General features: G+C 42.0%; 1 protein-coding gene across 17 annotated transcripts in view, besides 1 other annotated feature; it reads right to left on the bottom strand.

Annotated features, from left to right (window-relative positions):
* NCOA7 (nuclear receptor coactivator 7) overlaps positions 1–17,910 on the bottom strand; it is a 150,920-nt gene that overhangs the window by 13,869 nt on the left and 119,141 nt on the right. For 16 of the 17 annotated variants that reach the window (XM_047418206.1, XM_047418207.1, NM_001199620.2 and 13 more), the window contains one exon: positions 2,686–2,833. In XM_047418206.1, coding sequence (XP_047274162.1) covers positions 2,686–2,833 — 148 coding nt within the window. Of the gene's footprint in view, positions 1–2,685; positions 2,834–4,472; positions 4,541–17,910 lie in introns of those variants that run through there. The other variant, XR_007059204.1, reaches the window with a different exon arrangement.
* Positions 7,583–7,632: a silencer, noted in NCBI's record as "silent region_17523". NCBI's record gives its function as "represses an Ori minimal core promoter by ATAC-STARR-seq in GM12878 lymphoblastoid cells {active_cell/tissue: GM12878}" and the evidence as "EXISTENCE:reporter gene assay evidence [ECO:0000049][PMID:35858748]".

Below are 17,910 nucleotides of genomic sequence, written 5' to 3'. Positions count from 1 at the left end.
TAAAATCTTGGGATCACAAACTCACTACAAAAAAAGGGAAAATTAAGCTTTGAAACTGAGCCACACAAACAAAAACCATCTTTCCTTTTGTTTCTAAACAGCTGTCTCCCCAGGTGGTCTCCCTCACCTGGACAATGTAAATTAACAGCTTATTTTCACAAGTCGGAAACAAGAGCAGACTAGAAATTGACCTTACTGCTCACCTCCAGACCAATGCATACTGGACTTCTTCCACGACTCTGTTTACTTCATCTTATGTAAAGTGCAGATTTACTGCGCACAAGGCATACATGATTGAGGGTTCCTCTACCCTCTCCTTTGCACATGCAACATTTGGATTCAGTGCACACTAATCAAAGACTCACAAGAAAGTAACCGTTTGTCTCATTTTTTCTACCCTCCTCTTTTCTCCTTCCTCTCCAGCCCACTTTTCCCCCTTTAAATACTGAAGCCCTCAAAACCCTCTTTGGAAAAAGTGCAGGACACAGATCCTACTGTGGCTTGTGTCTCTTTTTCCCTCCCTAACCAGATGCATCCTCAACCTTAGCAAAATAAACCTCTAAATTGATTGAGATCTGTCTCAGGCATTGTTTTTGGTTTATAGGATACAGATGCCAAAATCTACAGCAGACACTCAAAGGAGGTTGGGGTGACCTGGGGGGTTCTGAGATAGCTTATTCACAGAGGAGATGGTGCTTCAGTTTGAGAGCAAGGATAGGGTGTGAGAAGATGTTCCAGGGACAGGGCACAGCAGGAATGCAGAGATGGATTCTGGGTTCACATTGGCTGGAGAAGAGACAGCAAGGAAAGCAGTGATGAGGAAGGTAGATGAGACAGAAAAGGTAGGAGGAGCAGAGAAAAAGAAGAGCCCTGATGCCACGAAGGAGCTTAAAACTTACCCTACAGGTCAGTGTTTCCAAAACATAACTGTTTGGAAATCATCTGGGAGCTTTGAAAAATACAGATTCTAACATTCCTCCCTCCAGACCTACTGAATTAATGTCTCTAGTAATAAGGATCTAGGATTCAGTTTTTTAAAATTCCCAGGTAGTTATTCTAACAGGTGGGTAAGAATCAGCAGAGTCAATAAGGAGGCCACTGAAGCTTTTAAGCACAGAGTATCCAAGCTTGCTTGTATATTTAAATGACAAGTTATACAGCCCCACAGTCCATATGTAAGATCTTTCAACATGATGAAGGAAACATTGGAAATCATTAAATAGTGCTGGAAAAAAATTGACTATTAAAAATATCATCTACCATACATCAAAAAAGCAACTACAGATTGAGTGAAGAGTTTAAATTAGTATTGCAGGGCCACTTATACATGGACACAGATGAATTCAGAACCATGTATTTGTAATGGCACCATTCTCCCTGGTGGACAGGTTCTCTCCAGCAATGCTTGGCTGCCTAGGAGCAGAAAAGTGTGAGGGTGGGTTCATCCAGGATTGCACGCAGGCTAGATGGGTGCAGTAGATGGGAGAGGGGTGGAGGAACTCAGGAGTCCTGGTAAGGATGTGTTTGAATTCATTTACCATCTGTCTAAGCTGGGAAAGAAGAAATGCTAAGTGGGGTTCAAGAGAGCAGCAGAACAGGAAGGAGGGGTAGACCTATTTTTCCTAGTCTCATCTCCCAATTTCCCAGTGCTGCAAGCTTGTTAAGTATTGAGAGCCTATGTTATCCATCATTGTATTTCCAGGGCCCTCGCCTAAAGAAGTACTTGATACATGCTTGCCTGACTGGATGAAGGGAACTGAGGTCTGGCAAACTACAGCTTGTGTATTAGTCCGTTTTCACACTGCTATAAAGATGCTACCTGAAACTGAGTAATTTACAAACAAAAGAGGTTTAATTGGCTCACAGTTCCACATAGCTGGGGAGGCCTTGGGAAACTTACAATCATGGCAGAAGGCAAAGGAGAGGTAAGCACCTTCTTCACAAGGCGGCAGGAGAGCGAGCGAGCGTAGCGGAAACTGCCACTTTTAAAACCATCAGATCTTGTGAGAACTCCCTCACTATCATGAGAACAGCACGGGGAAACTGTCCCCATGATCCAATCACCTCCCACCAGGTGCCTCCCTTGACATTTGGGGATTATAATTATGATATGATTTGCATGGGGACGTGGAGCCAAACTATATCAGCTTGTCAGCCAAAGCCAGTCTACCACCTGTTTTTGTATGGCACTTAAGCTAAGAAAGATTTCATATTTTTTAAGGGATTCAATAAAAATTAATAACAATATTTTGTGACACATAATAACTATGTGAAATGAAACACAGTCATGCTCATTCATTTACATACTATGGTTGCTTCTGTTCTATAATGGCAGCTATGAGTACCTGCAACAGGAACTGTATGGCCTACAAAGCCAAATATATTTATTATCTTGCCCTTTACAAAAAAAAATTTGCTGAGCTCTGAACTAAGGCATGGAGCTATGAGTAAGAATATAAGTAGATTCATCTAGTGTGGTCAGAATGAACTGTGTGCCTGTGTACATAGCGGTGGTGCTGGTGGTGGTGTTTTTTTTCAAACGGAGGAATAAAGTTATTTTCCTCTGTAATTTCATAGGTGCACAGGGACTCTAGTTTCTTACCAGCCTGTTACATGGAATCTGAATGCGAGACTGCTTACTGTACCTTAGGAACTACGACGGTCTAACCCTGCCCAAGTGCTCACCTCCCAGCTCTTGGTTGTTGGCTCACTGAAGAAGTTGTCAATCATGTTCAGTTCTTCCTTCTCCACCACCACAAAGCCTTGCTCTTTGGCATCTTTTCCATAGACATCGGGAGACCACTGAACAAAGAATGTGTACAAATGATCCACCCTGAAAAACACGTTTGTGACAGATGTTAACACCATGTCCACTTTCTTGGCAGGTGCTAGTGTGGACTTCAGTACATAAACCATCTTTTCCCTGCTTGGCAAATCCATTTTACTAATTTGAAAATTTCCCATTATCAAGGTTATCTCTACTTCCATACTCAAAATTAAGAGCCAACAAATAAAGTAAAAGTCCACAGGCACTGCGAAACTGTTAAAACTGTCTTTCAATTTGAGGGAAAGATCAAGAGATGGAATGTAAAACTGAAAAACACAATGAAATATTTATACCAAATATTTTTTCCTCATTGAGTCTTCATTTATTGGATACTTGTATTCATTGAGGAAAAAAATGTAGATCTGAAGCTTTAGCTAGGAACAAAGATAAACAATACTACAACGGGTCTTTATGTAGATCAAAGTACTATTGCATTGTAATTGTAATAAAACATCTTTGACAACTAGAAAGTGTCAGGAATAATACTGGCTACTATTTTAATATTAGAAAGAAATCTAATTTTATTGACGCAGGAATGTTCTTTGCTTCCAACTTCTCTGCTGTCTTATACACATTTACTGAATGAAGTTTCCAAAGTATCTTTCCAGGCTTAATCAATAGAAATATGCCTAGTTCCTGGGAAGAGAATGAGAGCTGTGAAAACTGCAGCTCCTGAAATATCCTCCAAGGTTCATACTATAACCATCACAACAGGAGAAAGGGCAATGAATATAATCAAATGATTCTTAAAGTATCTTCTAATCACTAAATGATAATTTGAATTTGAGGCTACTGTTGGGATAACGTTAACTTATGATTTTTAAAATTTATAATTACATAAAATTGCAATAATATTAATAGGACTAAAACAAAAACAGAAATACCACCGACAATTCTGATATCCTAACAGATCAAACCATTTTTAAGGTTTCTACATTCCTATCTGTTCTTGTCCACAAGTGTACATCGTTTATACAGCTTTCTTTTCATTGCCATCAGAGCCAAGCCATAACTGTTGTATTTAACATTATATACTTTTACCACATTGCTAGTCCTTGTAGTCATGTTTAACAGCTACATTTCATGAAGTTAATAAACCATAATTAGCCTGTATTCCTATGCTGTCAGGATATTTAGTTTGTTTGTATTTCTTTAATTGTATGAATGACGTTACAGTAACTATCCATACAGTGTAGGCCTTTCACTATGGTTCGAATTATTTCCTCAAGATTAGTTCCCAGAAAAGGGATTACTGGGCCAAGGGGCATGATTTTATAGCTTGTGATTCATCCTGCCTAATGGCTCTTGAAAGACTGACTAGTTTGCTGTGACGTCAGCATTGCAGTTTGTGTCTTAAGTTTCATAACAAACTTGCTTATCCTTTTAGTTTATATAAAGTTTTACCTGACTCCATTTGCGTTCCTTTCAGCGTTAAGGGCTTGAACATTTTTCAATATTTTCTTCCTGTCTGTAGCTTTTCTTTTGTGAACTGGATTTCTGTGATATGTGGTATCAGTGTTTTTCTTTTTTTCAATTTGTGGGAGTCTTTATGTAAGGTGGACATTAATAACTATCAAATGTGTTTCCGAGCTGTTGTTTCCCTTTTTATATTAATCATGTCTTTTCCCCCACAGTACAGACTTACCAATTTTCTTATACTTTAAAGGTGTATTTCTTTAGAGAGTTCTCCTTCAAAACATGGACTGTTGTTACCTAAAACAAGGTGTGTATCAGTGTATATGACATGTTACCATTTCTATTACAAAAGTAAATATAGATATTGATAGATACTATGATTGTACATGGGTATGATGGTTATGTTTCAACTTGGTGTGGCCATCCATGGTACGCAGCTTTTGGTCAAACAGCAGCCTTGATGTTGCTATTAAGGTATTTTAAGATGTGATTAACATTTATATCAGTAGACTCTGAGTAGAGCAGATTATGCTCCATAATGTGGGTGGGCCTCATCCAATCAGGTGAAGGCCTTAAGAGAAAATCACAGAGGTCTCTTAAGGAAGAAGGATTCTACCTTCAGACTTTCTTCAGGCTTGATACTGCAATACCCACTCTTTCCCCAGTCTCCAGCCTGACAGCCTGTCCTGAAAATTTCAGACCTGCCAGCCCTTAACAATCACATGAGCCAATTCTTTAAAACAGATCTCTATGTATAATACACACATTTTGGTTCTGTTTCTCTGAAGAACCTTGACTAATGTTATACAATAAACTACTCTGAAAGGCTATAAAAGAAACAGATCCAAATGGTTACTTCCAGGGAATGGAATGGGGTGGGAGAAATACATTTTATATTGTATATATATCTATCTTTAAATTATTTTAATATTTGGAATAGGTAATACATTTATATGATTCAAACATCAAAATTATATTTTAAAAGGCATATAATAAGAAGTTTCCTTCTTACATCCCTGTCTACCCCAAGCCCCATAGGTGACCACTTTATTCACTTCTTATATTTGTAGTGTTTATGTAGATATAAATATGAATATGTATTTTTTGTCTTATTATTATTTGTTGGGAAAAAGCTGAGTGTTGGGAGGGAAACTGAGGCAGGGCTTGCATAGTCCTTTGGAATGTGTCTAGACTTGCTGGCTCCTTGCTTCTAGCCCTCCTAGGCTCCTATTCCTATTATCTCAAGTAGCAGAACATGCTCCATATAAATGCTAAGCCATCACAGCTGTAAATCATGTGCTTAATGCAACGTGCTCTTTTGACCTCCACATTCTCACCACCTGTTTCTTTGTTGGATTACCAATAAATACCGTGGGCCCCCAGAGCTCAGGGCCTTCACAGCCTCCATACAATAGTGATGACACCCTAGTGTCCCACCTTTTTATCTCTCACTGTCTTTTTCTCAATCCTTTGACTCCAATTAGGAGAAGGAAAACGAGTAAATATACATATAGACTCTTAGTATGCTTACCTAGTCCTCCATGCCCACGCAGCAATATGGAGAGAAAGGGAATTCCTAACTTCCGAGGGAACACCTATCAATCATTAGGAAGCCATTAGGCCCCCAAAATTTTCCTTACCTCTGAATCTACTTCCTCCAATCCCTGCCTAAAGATAATTTTATGGGGAAGAGGATCTGCTTGTGTCTCTCCAGGTGACAATCAGGTGCCTGTGTGGGTGCCCACCAAACATCTGAAGATCTATCATGAGCCACAGCATCTAGTGGACCCGCCTGTACAGCACGAATTGAAGGTCTGAAAAGCCTCGATTTGCTTTCTCTATGCCTTCTGTTAATCAGAGAAGGCCTGTTTCTCATTATCAGTAGAAAGTTTTACCTCACGGTAATTAACCAAAGAGGCAGAAACCGAGTTAACGAATGTTTCAGCAACGGCATGCCTCCTAGCTACAACCACAACAAGTTTTTGCTTCTGTTTCAGTAGATTTACTAACGTGGGGGAGAGGGTATGCTTGTGTTTTTGCAGGAGATGAACAAACCGTGTGGATGCCCTCAAGATGTGTACGACCATGGAACGGGAGCATGGATCCCAACCATGGACCGGGTTCCCCCAGTACGAGCCATGAGCCACTTGAATCTGATTGCGAAGATGGAACGAAGACCGACCAGAGTCACGATGCTTAATGGACCAATGCTTTCTGACTCAGCTCCTCTCTACCCTGAATAAAAGAGACCCTAATAATTAGGCAGGAGTATCATTGCCCCTATTCAGCATGAAGAAGTTACAGAAGATGGACCTTCATCCTTCTGCAACCCCTAGGATTAAGGGTCCTCCTGTAAAAGGGAAAGGGGAGGTATGTGGTAAGCATTCAAACCAGAGCGACTCCAGTTTGAATAAGGGCTAAGAAAAATGAAGCTGGATCACCGACTGGCAATAAAGGGCTGCACAGCCTGCAAGTGCCTTGCTCAATTAAAAGAGGCCACCTCTTATGCTAGTAATAATGACAGTAATAATGATAGTTCCTCTTTTACAAAAAAGAGAAGGGAGGCATGTTGCGAAAAAGCTGAGTGGTGGGAGGGAAACTGAGGCAGGGCTTGCATAATGTCCTTTGGAATGTGTCTAGACTTGCTGGCTCCTTGCTTCTAGCCCTCCTAGGCTCCTATTCCCATTATCTCAAGTAGCAGAACATGTTCCATATAAATGCTAAACATCACAGCTGTAAATCATGTGCTTAACGCAATGTGCTCTTTTGACCTCCACATTCTCACCACCTGTTTCTTTGTTGGATTACCAATAAATACCGTGGGCTCCCAGAACTCGGGGCCTTTGCAGCCTCCATACAATAATGATGGTCCTCTGGTGTCCCACCTTTTTCTCTCACTGTCTTTTTCTCAATCCTTTGACTCCGCTGACTTTGTCACCCCCACGACCTGGTGTTGGGTCTGATCACCCCAACATTATTCTTTATCTTGCTTTTTCATTTAATAACATATCCTAGATAGCTTTCCAAACCAGTATATAGACAGCTCCCTCATTCTTTATTTTACAGCTACATAGTACTTTACTAACTGGATTTATTATAGTTACATAGCCATTCTCTGGGTTGTTTTCAAGAGTGTACCATAACGAACAATGCTATGATGAATTAAATTTGCATGTGACTCATTTCACATGTGTACAGGCGAAGCCACAGGACATTCTCAGAAGTAGGATTGCATTGTGAAAGCAACAATTCAACTTGTCATTTTCACATACAACCTCACATTCTGCTGTATAGGGATTATATTATTTTTACCCTCCCACCAGCTATCTCTCTCTCTTCAACCACTGAACTATTTTTGCCGTGTAGAATTAACTTCCCTATTAAAAGTTAACTTAGAAAACATGAAATAAATCATCACTCCAGAGAGGTTTGACAAAGATACAATTATAAATCTTAGTTTTTTCAATACTTAAAAATTTAGTCCATCTTAAATATGTTTTGAAATAGAGTTGAGAATGAACTATGCTTCACTATAACTTTTGGAAAAGGAAATATATATTATGTGCATAGCCACACTGGATAAAATGTATGGGCATAAGTGGTTCCTAATAGGTTGCTGGCTAGCTGACTTGAGAGAAAAAGGCATGCAGTCCCTAATATCTGAGAACTAGCCTGGTACTATCAGCCAGGCCTCAGTGTTACTAAGAGCCGGCTTAGCATTCACAGCTATGCCCGATGTTTTCCTATTTAATATAATTTTCCAGAACATCCACACTAAATAAGGCCATTCTATGACCATGATGAATCACAACAAAAACAAGACAACTTTGTAATCAGAGCTGAACACAAACAACACAAACATTATCCAGCCACAAAAATGACCAAACGTCTCCCTAATTTGGGTAATGAGAATGACTGTGCTTCCTTCCCAATTATAGCATTAGTCTCTCCAGTCTTCCTTCCTTCTAGATAGGATTTAATAAAATACCCAATCTTAAAATTACCCCTACTTCCTGACAGCATCCCATTTAGAGCAAGGCCCTGCTTCCTTGAATCCTCCCTCAAATCACCTAACACAAACCAAAATCCCATAAGTCCTTTCTTTTTTTTTCTGAGACACGGTCTCACTCTGTCACCCAGGCTAGACTGGAGTGGTGCGATCTCGGCTCACTGCAACCTCTGCCTCCCGAGTTCAAGTGATTCTCCTGACTCAGCCTCCTGACTAGGTGAGATTACAGGCATGCGCCACCACTCCCGGCTAATTTTTGTATTTTTTAGTAGAGACGGGGTTTCACCATGTTAGCCAGGATGGTCTCGATCTCCTGACCTCGTGATCCACCCACCTCAGCCTCCCAAAGTGCTGGGATTACAGGCATGAGCCACTCCTTTCTAACATCCTCTGAGGTAACCCATGGTTCCCTATATTGTGTGTGTTCTCCCTCACTGCAACAAGTTAACCTGACTTACTCAATTACAGGTGTGTTCCTGCTGGTCTTTGTCTAGAGGGCATTGCTTCCTTTGACAACACTTCCTGGGCACCCACTGTGTGCCAATGACCCTGCCTTCATGAAGCCTCCCTTCTGGAATGTTAGAGCTGGACACTGGATGGCATTTCATTCAACTGACTTTCCTTAGGTATCAGAGAATGAGGGCTCTGAATGAAAACATCAGGATCACAGCCAGGACTAGATCTCCTGAGGTGGCAATCAGCGTTCTTTCTATCACACTAAAAAGTCCTCCTCTCATTCCACAGTGGTTTCTGAACCATTTCCCAGTTAATTTTCTAGTTACAACACAAGACACATTTTTAAATCACTTTTTGGACCCACTTTCCATTAGGCACTACTCATTTTTCCTCTAACATTTTACTCTACTTTGGGAAAGTCTTTGGACAATCATAGACACCGAGTGAAAAAGGAAATGTTCTGAGAATGCTGAGTTCATGCAATCAAATATTCTTGTGCAAGACTGCAAGGGAATGAAGAATCAATCACAGATTTGGAGTTAAGCTTTCATTTCTTCTTAGACATTGCAAGAAAACGTAAAGTGTGAAAAGTGCAGGTCAATTAAGATTTTAGGGAGAGAAACTATCTTAGCAATTGCTAGTCATTTCCCTTTCTGGTGACAAAAACATCAAGTTGCTCAGGGACATGATTATATTGTCCTGTTTAATTATGCAGATATAAGTAGGACTTAGTATTCTGGAGAGAGGTATGACTGAGTACACCCTGTTTGATGAAGACCACTCATCATTCCTACAACCCATCGGGAAGGTGGATGGGGTAGTAGGTCAGGGAGAAGGAAGATTTATATAAAGTCTGTAGGATTTCCTGAGGAGGAATCAAACGCCTAATACCATCTCTTTTGAAGATCTCAATATTATTAGAGCTTCTCTGATGAATTAGGGTGGTCCTAGAAAGTCAACAGAAAAAGACAACATCCCTTTCTCTATTCCATTGTTCCTGAAGGGAAACTCTCCAAAGGGGTTAGAGAAGTGGTCGGGTCTTGCCATAACCATTTTAGGAGCAGACAAATTGAGGCATGGTGTGCTACTGATTCTGAAACTTAGATCAAGCCCCCTGCCACTGTGGGCATGTTATGGAAGGAAATGGCTGCATGTGCATATGTGTGTGTTTCTTAGGTTTAACAAGAAGATGTGAGATGGAGTGTACTGGGGTGTCAATTTTGGCATAAAGCATTCTTACCTGCTGGTGCCATTTTCTCTAGAAGAAATATCTCAGCCTAGGACAGGAATCTGGGGTGACCAGGTAAGGGGGCATATCCCAAGCCTACTCTTTTGGAACTGCTGGGTTTTCTGTGAGTAGTAAATCTAGGCTCTGGGTTTGCTTGTTCCCAGAGTGGACTATTTTGCAGCAGCCATGGCCAGCCCTTTAAACTGAGTAAGCACAGGCTTTCTTGGGACTTACCACTGGAGGAAGGTTTCTAGAGAAAAGGAAAAAGCACTTTCAATATATCACACAATAGAGGCTTAGAGTCGTAAACACTTAACATTAAGCAGAAAAGCAACCTTATGTTTTAACCAATGCTGGTAAAATATACCATCTACCTAAAAAGAAAAGCTGTGATTTCCTGCCTCAAGGACCTTACATTGTACAGTAACTCTATGAGGCATGTATTACTGTGCCAAATTTAAAGTTAAGGAAATTGAGAGTTGGTAAGACTCAATAATGTGCCCAAACACCCCATCCCCAGGAACGTTCCAGTAATTCTAAGCTGTTCCCCAACCCCCGCTTTTTTAAAATAAATGCTAAGTCCAAGGAGGTGGGGAACATTTTAGTATCTGTCCATAGTCAGATCTCATGTCATAGTATGGGCCAACTACTTCCTTGGCTTTAGGTTTCATTAATAAATCTAAAGGAGTATTAGTGAGATGTCCCGAGTGGCCCTTAGGGCACATGCAGCTCAGTCCCTGTTATTCCCGCTCCTGCACCTTCCGCTGATGAGGGACTCACAGCACCACCGGAGCCAGCCCGTCAGTGCTGTGCTCTGTGTTTGGGGAGTGTGAAGGGGAAGCCGCCCTGAATGCTTCCCCCATCGCTCAGGTGGTACCCTCTGTCTCTGCAGTCACTAGAGTCGCCCAAACCTTGGGCAGCCTCAGCGGAGGTGAGATGGGAAACCTCAAAGGTACATCTGCAATGGGGCACTCTGCCAGCAAATGCTTGTTCTTCTTTCCTCTGAGATGTTCAGGGCACTGGCAGACTCCTATTTCCCTCAACAGTAGCCTCCCGCATAATATCCCCTCATTCTCTCACGTAGACAGGGCCCTCATGCTATGCCTCTGAGGGAAGAGGAGGAGGAATGAAGAAGGGACATGGCCTGTCCCACAAGAGGATATTAAGATTCATGTAGAATCAATTTGCTTACTTAAGTTCTAAGTCCTCTGGAGACGAGGTGGAAGGAGTCAATGTCCCTCTTCCCAGCAATCCTTCCGCTCAATTCTCTATCTTTTGTTTAGGTTATTTTTACAATTTACCTGGGGGAGAGGATATGACTTCATAGTTTTTCCTTCTAGGTTAGGGTTGCCTTGTTTATTTAACCTAATTATTGGAATGTTCTTTTCATTCACTGGGTTTTCCTAGTGGGTCATTTCCCAGAACTCAACTCTGCCCTCTGGAAACAGACCTCAAGCTCTGAAATTCCCCTTCTGATCCCTCTGCCTTCCATCTAAACCACATCTTTCTCCTGGCTATACCAGCTATGCTCCCGCCCTGACCCCTCTTCCTCCTCTCTCCCCAGTCTTCAGCCTCTTCTGGGTTCATATACTTTAGGATCTCTCTTTCAGGCTCACCCTCACCAGTGCCCCCTAGAGGTAGGCCTACAGCAGCGATCCTTCTGCACCTGCCCTTCCAAACTTCCCACAGAAACAAACACAATAATCTTTCCAGCTCTTCTCTTGGGATGATGAATGTAGCTAGGTTTGCTTATTTGGGCTTAATGGGTCCACTACAAAGGCAGCTAATCTTGGCTAGGAAAAACCCTCTCCTGGTGCAGCTCCGTACTCACCTGTAGCTTTTTTTCTTTCCTACTCTACACAGTACATATTTAGCCTCTATTTTTTCAAGCTCACCCCACTCTCCTACCTGCCTCCTCTCGGAATGGAAGATTCTCTATTGTACTGTTCTTAAAATGTGTTCCCTCTGCCATCCCTCTTAGCACTCTTTTTCTTCAAAAGGAGTAACTGCTCTTTGACCTGTTTTAACCCTCCTCTCTGTACTTTTAAGGGTCCCACTCCCTGGTGAATTTCCTCTATTATTTCCACCACCCCACCTTGCGACCTTTCCATTCCCCTATCTCCTTCATCTGGATCCATAAATTCCATGCTTGTAATCCCAGGACTTTGGGAAGCCGAGGTGGGAGGACTGCTTGAGGCCAGGAGTTTGAGACCACCCTGGCCAATACGGTGAAACCCCATCTCTACTAAAAATACGAAAATTAGCCAGGTGTAGTGGTGCACACCTGTAAAATCCCAGCTACTCGGGTGGCTGAGGCACAAGAATTTCTTGAACCCAGGAGGCGGAGGTTGTAGTCAGTCGAGATCATGCCACTGCACTCCAGCCTGGGCGACAAAGCAAGACTCTGTCTCCAAAAAATAAAAATAGTAAAAATAAATAAATAATTTTAAAAAAGGGTTCGGATTTTATTTATTCCCAAAGTCCCTCCCACACCTCACTTTCCCTTTAGAGTGTATTGTTGACAACTGGGCTGGCAGATTTCCCAATTTCTTTTCATTCCTGAACTCTTCTATTCTGATTTTGTTCACCTTTCTGTATATGCCCTTTGTTAAATCGAACCTGGCTCCGGTATTTTCTGGAAGGTGGCAGGTTTTAAAATCTTATTCCTGACTGGGTGCGGTGGCTCACGCCTGTAATCCCAGCACTTCGGGAGGCCGAAGCAGGCAGATCATTTGAGGTCAGGAGTTCTAGACCAGCCTGGCCAACATGGTGAAACCCCATCTCTTCTAAAAATACAAAAATTAGCTGGGCATGGTGGCATTACAGGGGTCTGTAATCCCAGCTACTTGGGAGGCTGAGGCAGAAGAATCACTTGAACCCCGGAGGCATAGGTTGCAATGAGCCGAGATCGCACCGCTGCACTCCAGCCTGGGCGACAAGAGTGAAACTCTGTCTCAAAAAAAAAAAAAAAAAAAATCTTATTCCTTCCCTCACCACTCTAGTGAAGCTGATCTTCTCAAAGATCATCCACTGTAAACATCAGCAGTATCTCAGTCATCACCCGTTTTAACCTTGGCAGGTCTGTCAATGGCTTTTTGGAAACTCTCTGTGACTCACGCTGTGGTCTGGATGAACCACTGAGCTTCTCTGGGCTTCCACTACCTCAGGACACTAAGCAGGGCTGATGGATGAGTGAACAGAATTACTAGTAATTACTCACCCTGGCTGCTACCTGCTGCTGAAGCAGTGGGTGTGTGGTAACACCCATGAACAGAGAACTGGGTCAAGTACTGGGTCCCAAGAAACCACTAATATTTAAGGAGAAAGCAGAGCCGTCCTAGCACAAGGCCAAGAAGAAACAGCAGACAGGCAAAATCGAGCTCATAAAATGCAAACCTGAGCATTTCACCTAACTGCCTGTAATGTTTTCCCAATGTCTCCTCATAGGTTTTGGGATAAATGTGACCTCTTTGGGGCTGCCTGGGAGCTTTGTTTTGCACCAGTCTCCAAAATGCAGCCAGTGTCCATTCTGGCTCTGTGCTCACACTATTGCTTTCTTTTTAAATTAAGAATCATGGCAAAGGTAAGCCCAGTGAAGTGTCTAAGGCTGGGGTAGGGGAAGGCTTCCCAGGGGCCATGGTTAAACTGGGTGTTGAGGGAGGCAGAAGAGTCCATTACAGTAGGAAGGAGAAACAGCATTCTACTGGAGGGAACCCATGCAAAGACATGGCATTGGAAGACCAGGGGGATGCTGCAGTGAGGTCAAAGTGGACATGGCAGAGCAAAAGGAGGACAATGCCATCAGATCACTGGTGATTTCTGACAAAGAATTCTGTAAAAAGGACAGAGATGCAGGATACCCAGGCCCTGCCTCAAGGTGCTCAGGTGGTGGAGAGTAAACAAAAAAATGTTAGCACAGTGCCAACACAACAGCTGAGGGGCATCGGAGCTGGGATGTTGGTGTTGAATAGGAACTCAAGAGGCAGGGAAGGAATTCCTGAGAGGAGGAATAAAAGAACAAGACTTACCATTTGCTTAATGGAAAGGTAGGAGATAAGAAGAAAGAAGACAGAGCAGGTGGGTCACTAGGTCACAGAAAGTCCCAAGCATAAGATAAAATACTTGGAACTCAGCCTGTGGCCACTGTTTCCTGAAGTGTGGTGGGGCAGTCCCAGTGACTTCAGAGGGTATGCAGAAGAACATATTTTAATACTTACATATGTACTTAAAGGGTAGTGGCTCATGCCTGTAATCCCAGCACTTTGGGAGGCTGAGGTGGGCAGTTCATGAGGTCAAGAGTTCGAGACCAGCCTGTCCAATATGGTGAAACCCTGTATCTACTAAAATTAGAAAAAAATTAGTTGGGCATGATGGCACACACCTGTAATCCCAGCTACTTGGGAGGCTGAGGCAGAAGAATTGCTTGAACCCAGGAGGTGGAGGTTGCAGTGAGCTGAGATCATGCCACTACACTCCAGCCTGGGTGACAGAGCAAGATTCTATCTCAAAAAAAAAAAAAAGAAGGTAGTAAAAATAAGTACTACTAGCATATTATTTTTCTGATTTCACAGATATTGCTATTTAGGAAAAGACTAAGTAAAAAAAATTACTATTTAAATCCTTTAAAGACAACCATTAAGTAAACAGTAGTATAGATGGTAGGCAGATCTAGGGATATTTGTGAGGGAGGGAATGTATGTGAATAGCTGAAGCTGCCATAGGAAACCACAGGCACAGGGAGGCCATGCGTTCATAGCTTTAGCAGGAAGAGACATGGACAAATCTGTGCTTGAGAAGGACTGCTGTGGAGCCAAGTAGGGAAGGCCAGGAAGAGACAGGATCAACTAGAAATAAAGGCCTTGTTGCTATGGCTGCAATGGTGATCCAGGCAGGAGATGGTCAAGGCCAGACCCCAGGTGTGGCAGAGGGCATGGGAAGAAACCTGCCATACATGCTCTGCCAGGCACAAAATCAACCCATCTAAAATCTGGCCCTCACCTTTGTTTAGGTTTTCTGTTTAATTACAAATTTGGCCTTAATCAGATTTCTTCATACACCTCAAAGGTCTTTATCTTCAATACAAGGCTCCTTTAGGGATTTATCCCAAAGGAGACACCATATTCAAATTACAAATCCCTGTTTAGCAGATAGAGTTGTCATCTCTAAAGAAGAAATTCAAAGAAGGTAAATGATAGTTTCTTGGAAGGCAGCACCTAACTCAGGCAACAAAGCACAACAGATTGAAGGAGAGGTAATAGCAGCAGCAGCAGCAACTAATTTTCATTTAATACATGGGCATGCTAATTTATTCTCATTATAATCCCGTGAGGTAGGCACTATTATGATCATTCCTATTTAATGCATGAGAAACAGATGCTTACATAGATTAAGTCACCCAAGGTCACATAGCATTTTAGGGGTGGACCTGGGACGAACACAAGGTCAGTTCATGGTCTTAAACAATATGCTTTACTGTTTCTTTTAGGGTCACTTCCACTGTCCTGGTTTTGCTAGTTCATAAAAGCCTGTCACTGACAAAGCTCCAGGGCTTAAGGATTGAAAATCTGATGAAAAATTGGAGAGTTGATGCTTGAAACAAACCATATATCTACCTACCATTCATGCCTTAGGTGTATGGACTTTAGGTAAAATTACAATCTAGTTTATTGAACAAGATTCACTACTAGTTACGGTAGGATTTAATTTACTGTTGCTTCCCTTCCATCCCCACTTTAAAAAAAAAAAAAACATGGCTATGAGTTAAAGTTTAAAAACCATACATTTCTAAGTCAAACACTTGAATTCCCAAGTTGGTTCCGCCTGTTACTAGCTGGAGGTTTTGGGAAAGTTCCTTAACCTCTCTGAGCTTCCAAAATGAAGATAAGAAAACTTAGCCCACCCTATCAGTGTTTGGATTATTAAATACGCAAGGAAGTTCATTCTACTTTTGGACAGATCTTTTAGAAAGTCTCTTCTACATGAGGATCTAAAATCTTGCTGATATAGACAGGAGGCAGAGAAATACTAGGTAAAAAAGGGTGGGGTCTCTGCAAGGGTTCCACCCTCAAGCCTGGACCTGTGGCCCTAAATGAGAACTTCACATCCCCGTTTTTCCCCCCAAATGTTACTTTTTGGCCTGCCACACCCCCTACCCTGCACCCATAAAAACCACAAGCTCCACTGGCAGAGAAGCAGAGTGGCTCAGCAGAGGAAAGATGAGAAGAAGCGCCTGAATGCTGAGAGGAAAAGAGGCAGCTGGACATTGGAGAATACAGTCAGAGAGAAGTTTGGTCGGGGACGGTCGGAGGAGTTCAGCCAGGTCTGGCCAAACTCCAGGGGAAGACTATCTTCCCACTCCATCTCCTTTCCAGCTCCCCATCCCACTGAAAGCCACTTCTACTGCTCAATCAAATCTCCACATTCACCATCCTTCAAGGCCATGGGACCTGATTTCTTCCTGGATGCTGGACAAGAACCCGGGTACCAAGAGGGCAGGGTGAAAAGGGCTATCACCCTGACTCTCCACTAAGCTGGTTTAACACTTAGTCATCCATGGATGGCAAATGCTAAAAGAGCACTGTTTGTAACCTATGACCTCTGGGGCTCCAGTGGTCGTGGGCAACCCCTAGACGCTACTATGGGCTGGTACAGGGTTCATTCCCACTGGTGCCCAAAGGCACCCGCCCCAGCTCCTGTACCCACTCACCTGCGTGCTCCCCCTCCTGCAAGGGGTTTCAGTGCAGCAGCTGAGTAAAGGTGATATCCCTGTTGCAAGTCCCACAAAGGGGTCAAGGGAACTCTCTCATCTCATTGCCATTTACATTGTTGTAAACCAACAAACGTACTCAAAATAACCCAGAACAGTTAAGGAATTATTGCCCTATCAAAAGCTGCATGACTGGTAGGAAAAGGAACTGGGGGCACACACAGCAAAATATAATCCCGAAACTCACTTGACTTAAAACTGATAAGCAGGAACCATTAAACAATTTAATAGCTATTACATTAAAAACATACTTCAGAGTATATTATGGCACAGAGAATGGGAAATACTGAAAGAGGACATGTAAAGAAAGGAAAGAAGAATGTGCCCTAGAAAGTACTGAAACGCATATGCATGCAGTTTCGTTGGTCACTTGTATTGTCCATCATAAATTATTCAAATGCATGTCTGTCTAAAACTTCTGGGGGTTCCATTCTGAAAACAGCTACAGAAGCCCAGTAGGGCAAAGCAGTTTTCACCACAGAGGTTGCTGCTAGAAAACGACTGCCTTTAAAAATCCAGTCCTAATGGCCTGGCTGGAAATTCTCATGTGAAAAAGGTAATTTTCCTTGCACTGTAGGGCCTCTTCCAGTTTCAGTATTCTAAAACTCCAAATTAAATCAATGGTTAGTAATACCCAGGTATAATGTCCATTTTTAAAGGGTCTTAGTGTGTCTATAAAAAAAAAACAACTTTATTTATTTACAAACCAACTACTCTTCTTTGAATCTAATGTACAACAATGTGACTATAATTAACAATGCATTGTAGACAGGTCCTTTTTTGCTAACGAGTGTTCTTACCACACATACCAAAAAAGAAGAAAATGGCAACTAACTGTGTGGTAATGAGGATGTTTAATTAGCTCCATTGTGATGTATATTTCACAATGTACACATACATGAAATCATCAGGTTGAACATCTCAAAAATACATAATTTTAAGTTGTCAACTCTATCTCAATAAAGCTGGAAAGAAAAATACTCTTTGGTTCACCAAAAATAATAGGAACGCTCTGTTGAGAAAGCTCAAAACAGCAGTTGTGGTTATAAAAAGGATTACTTGAAAATGAATAAAAACGTAAAAGTTTATATTAATATCAATGCCAGAGGCCTCAGGCTGGCAGCCCATAGCGTGGATTCAGAAGTAAATATGTTTTCTTTGCTCTGCTCACTATCTTTAAAATTAAACAGTGGACAATACTTAACAAC

This window comes from Homo sapiens, chromosome 6 (assembly GCF_000001405.40).
Source record: "Homo sapiens chromosome 6, GRCh38.p14 Primary Assembly".
Taxonomy (NCBI): Eukaryota; Metazoa; Chordata; class Mammalia; order Primates; family Hominidae; genus Homo; species Homo sapiens.
This window is presented reverse-complemented; position numbering and strand designations above follow the sequence as displayed.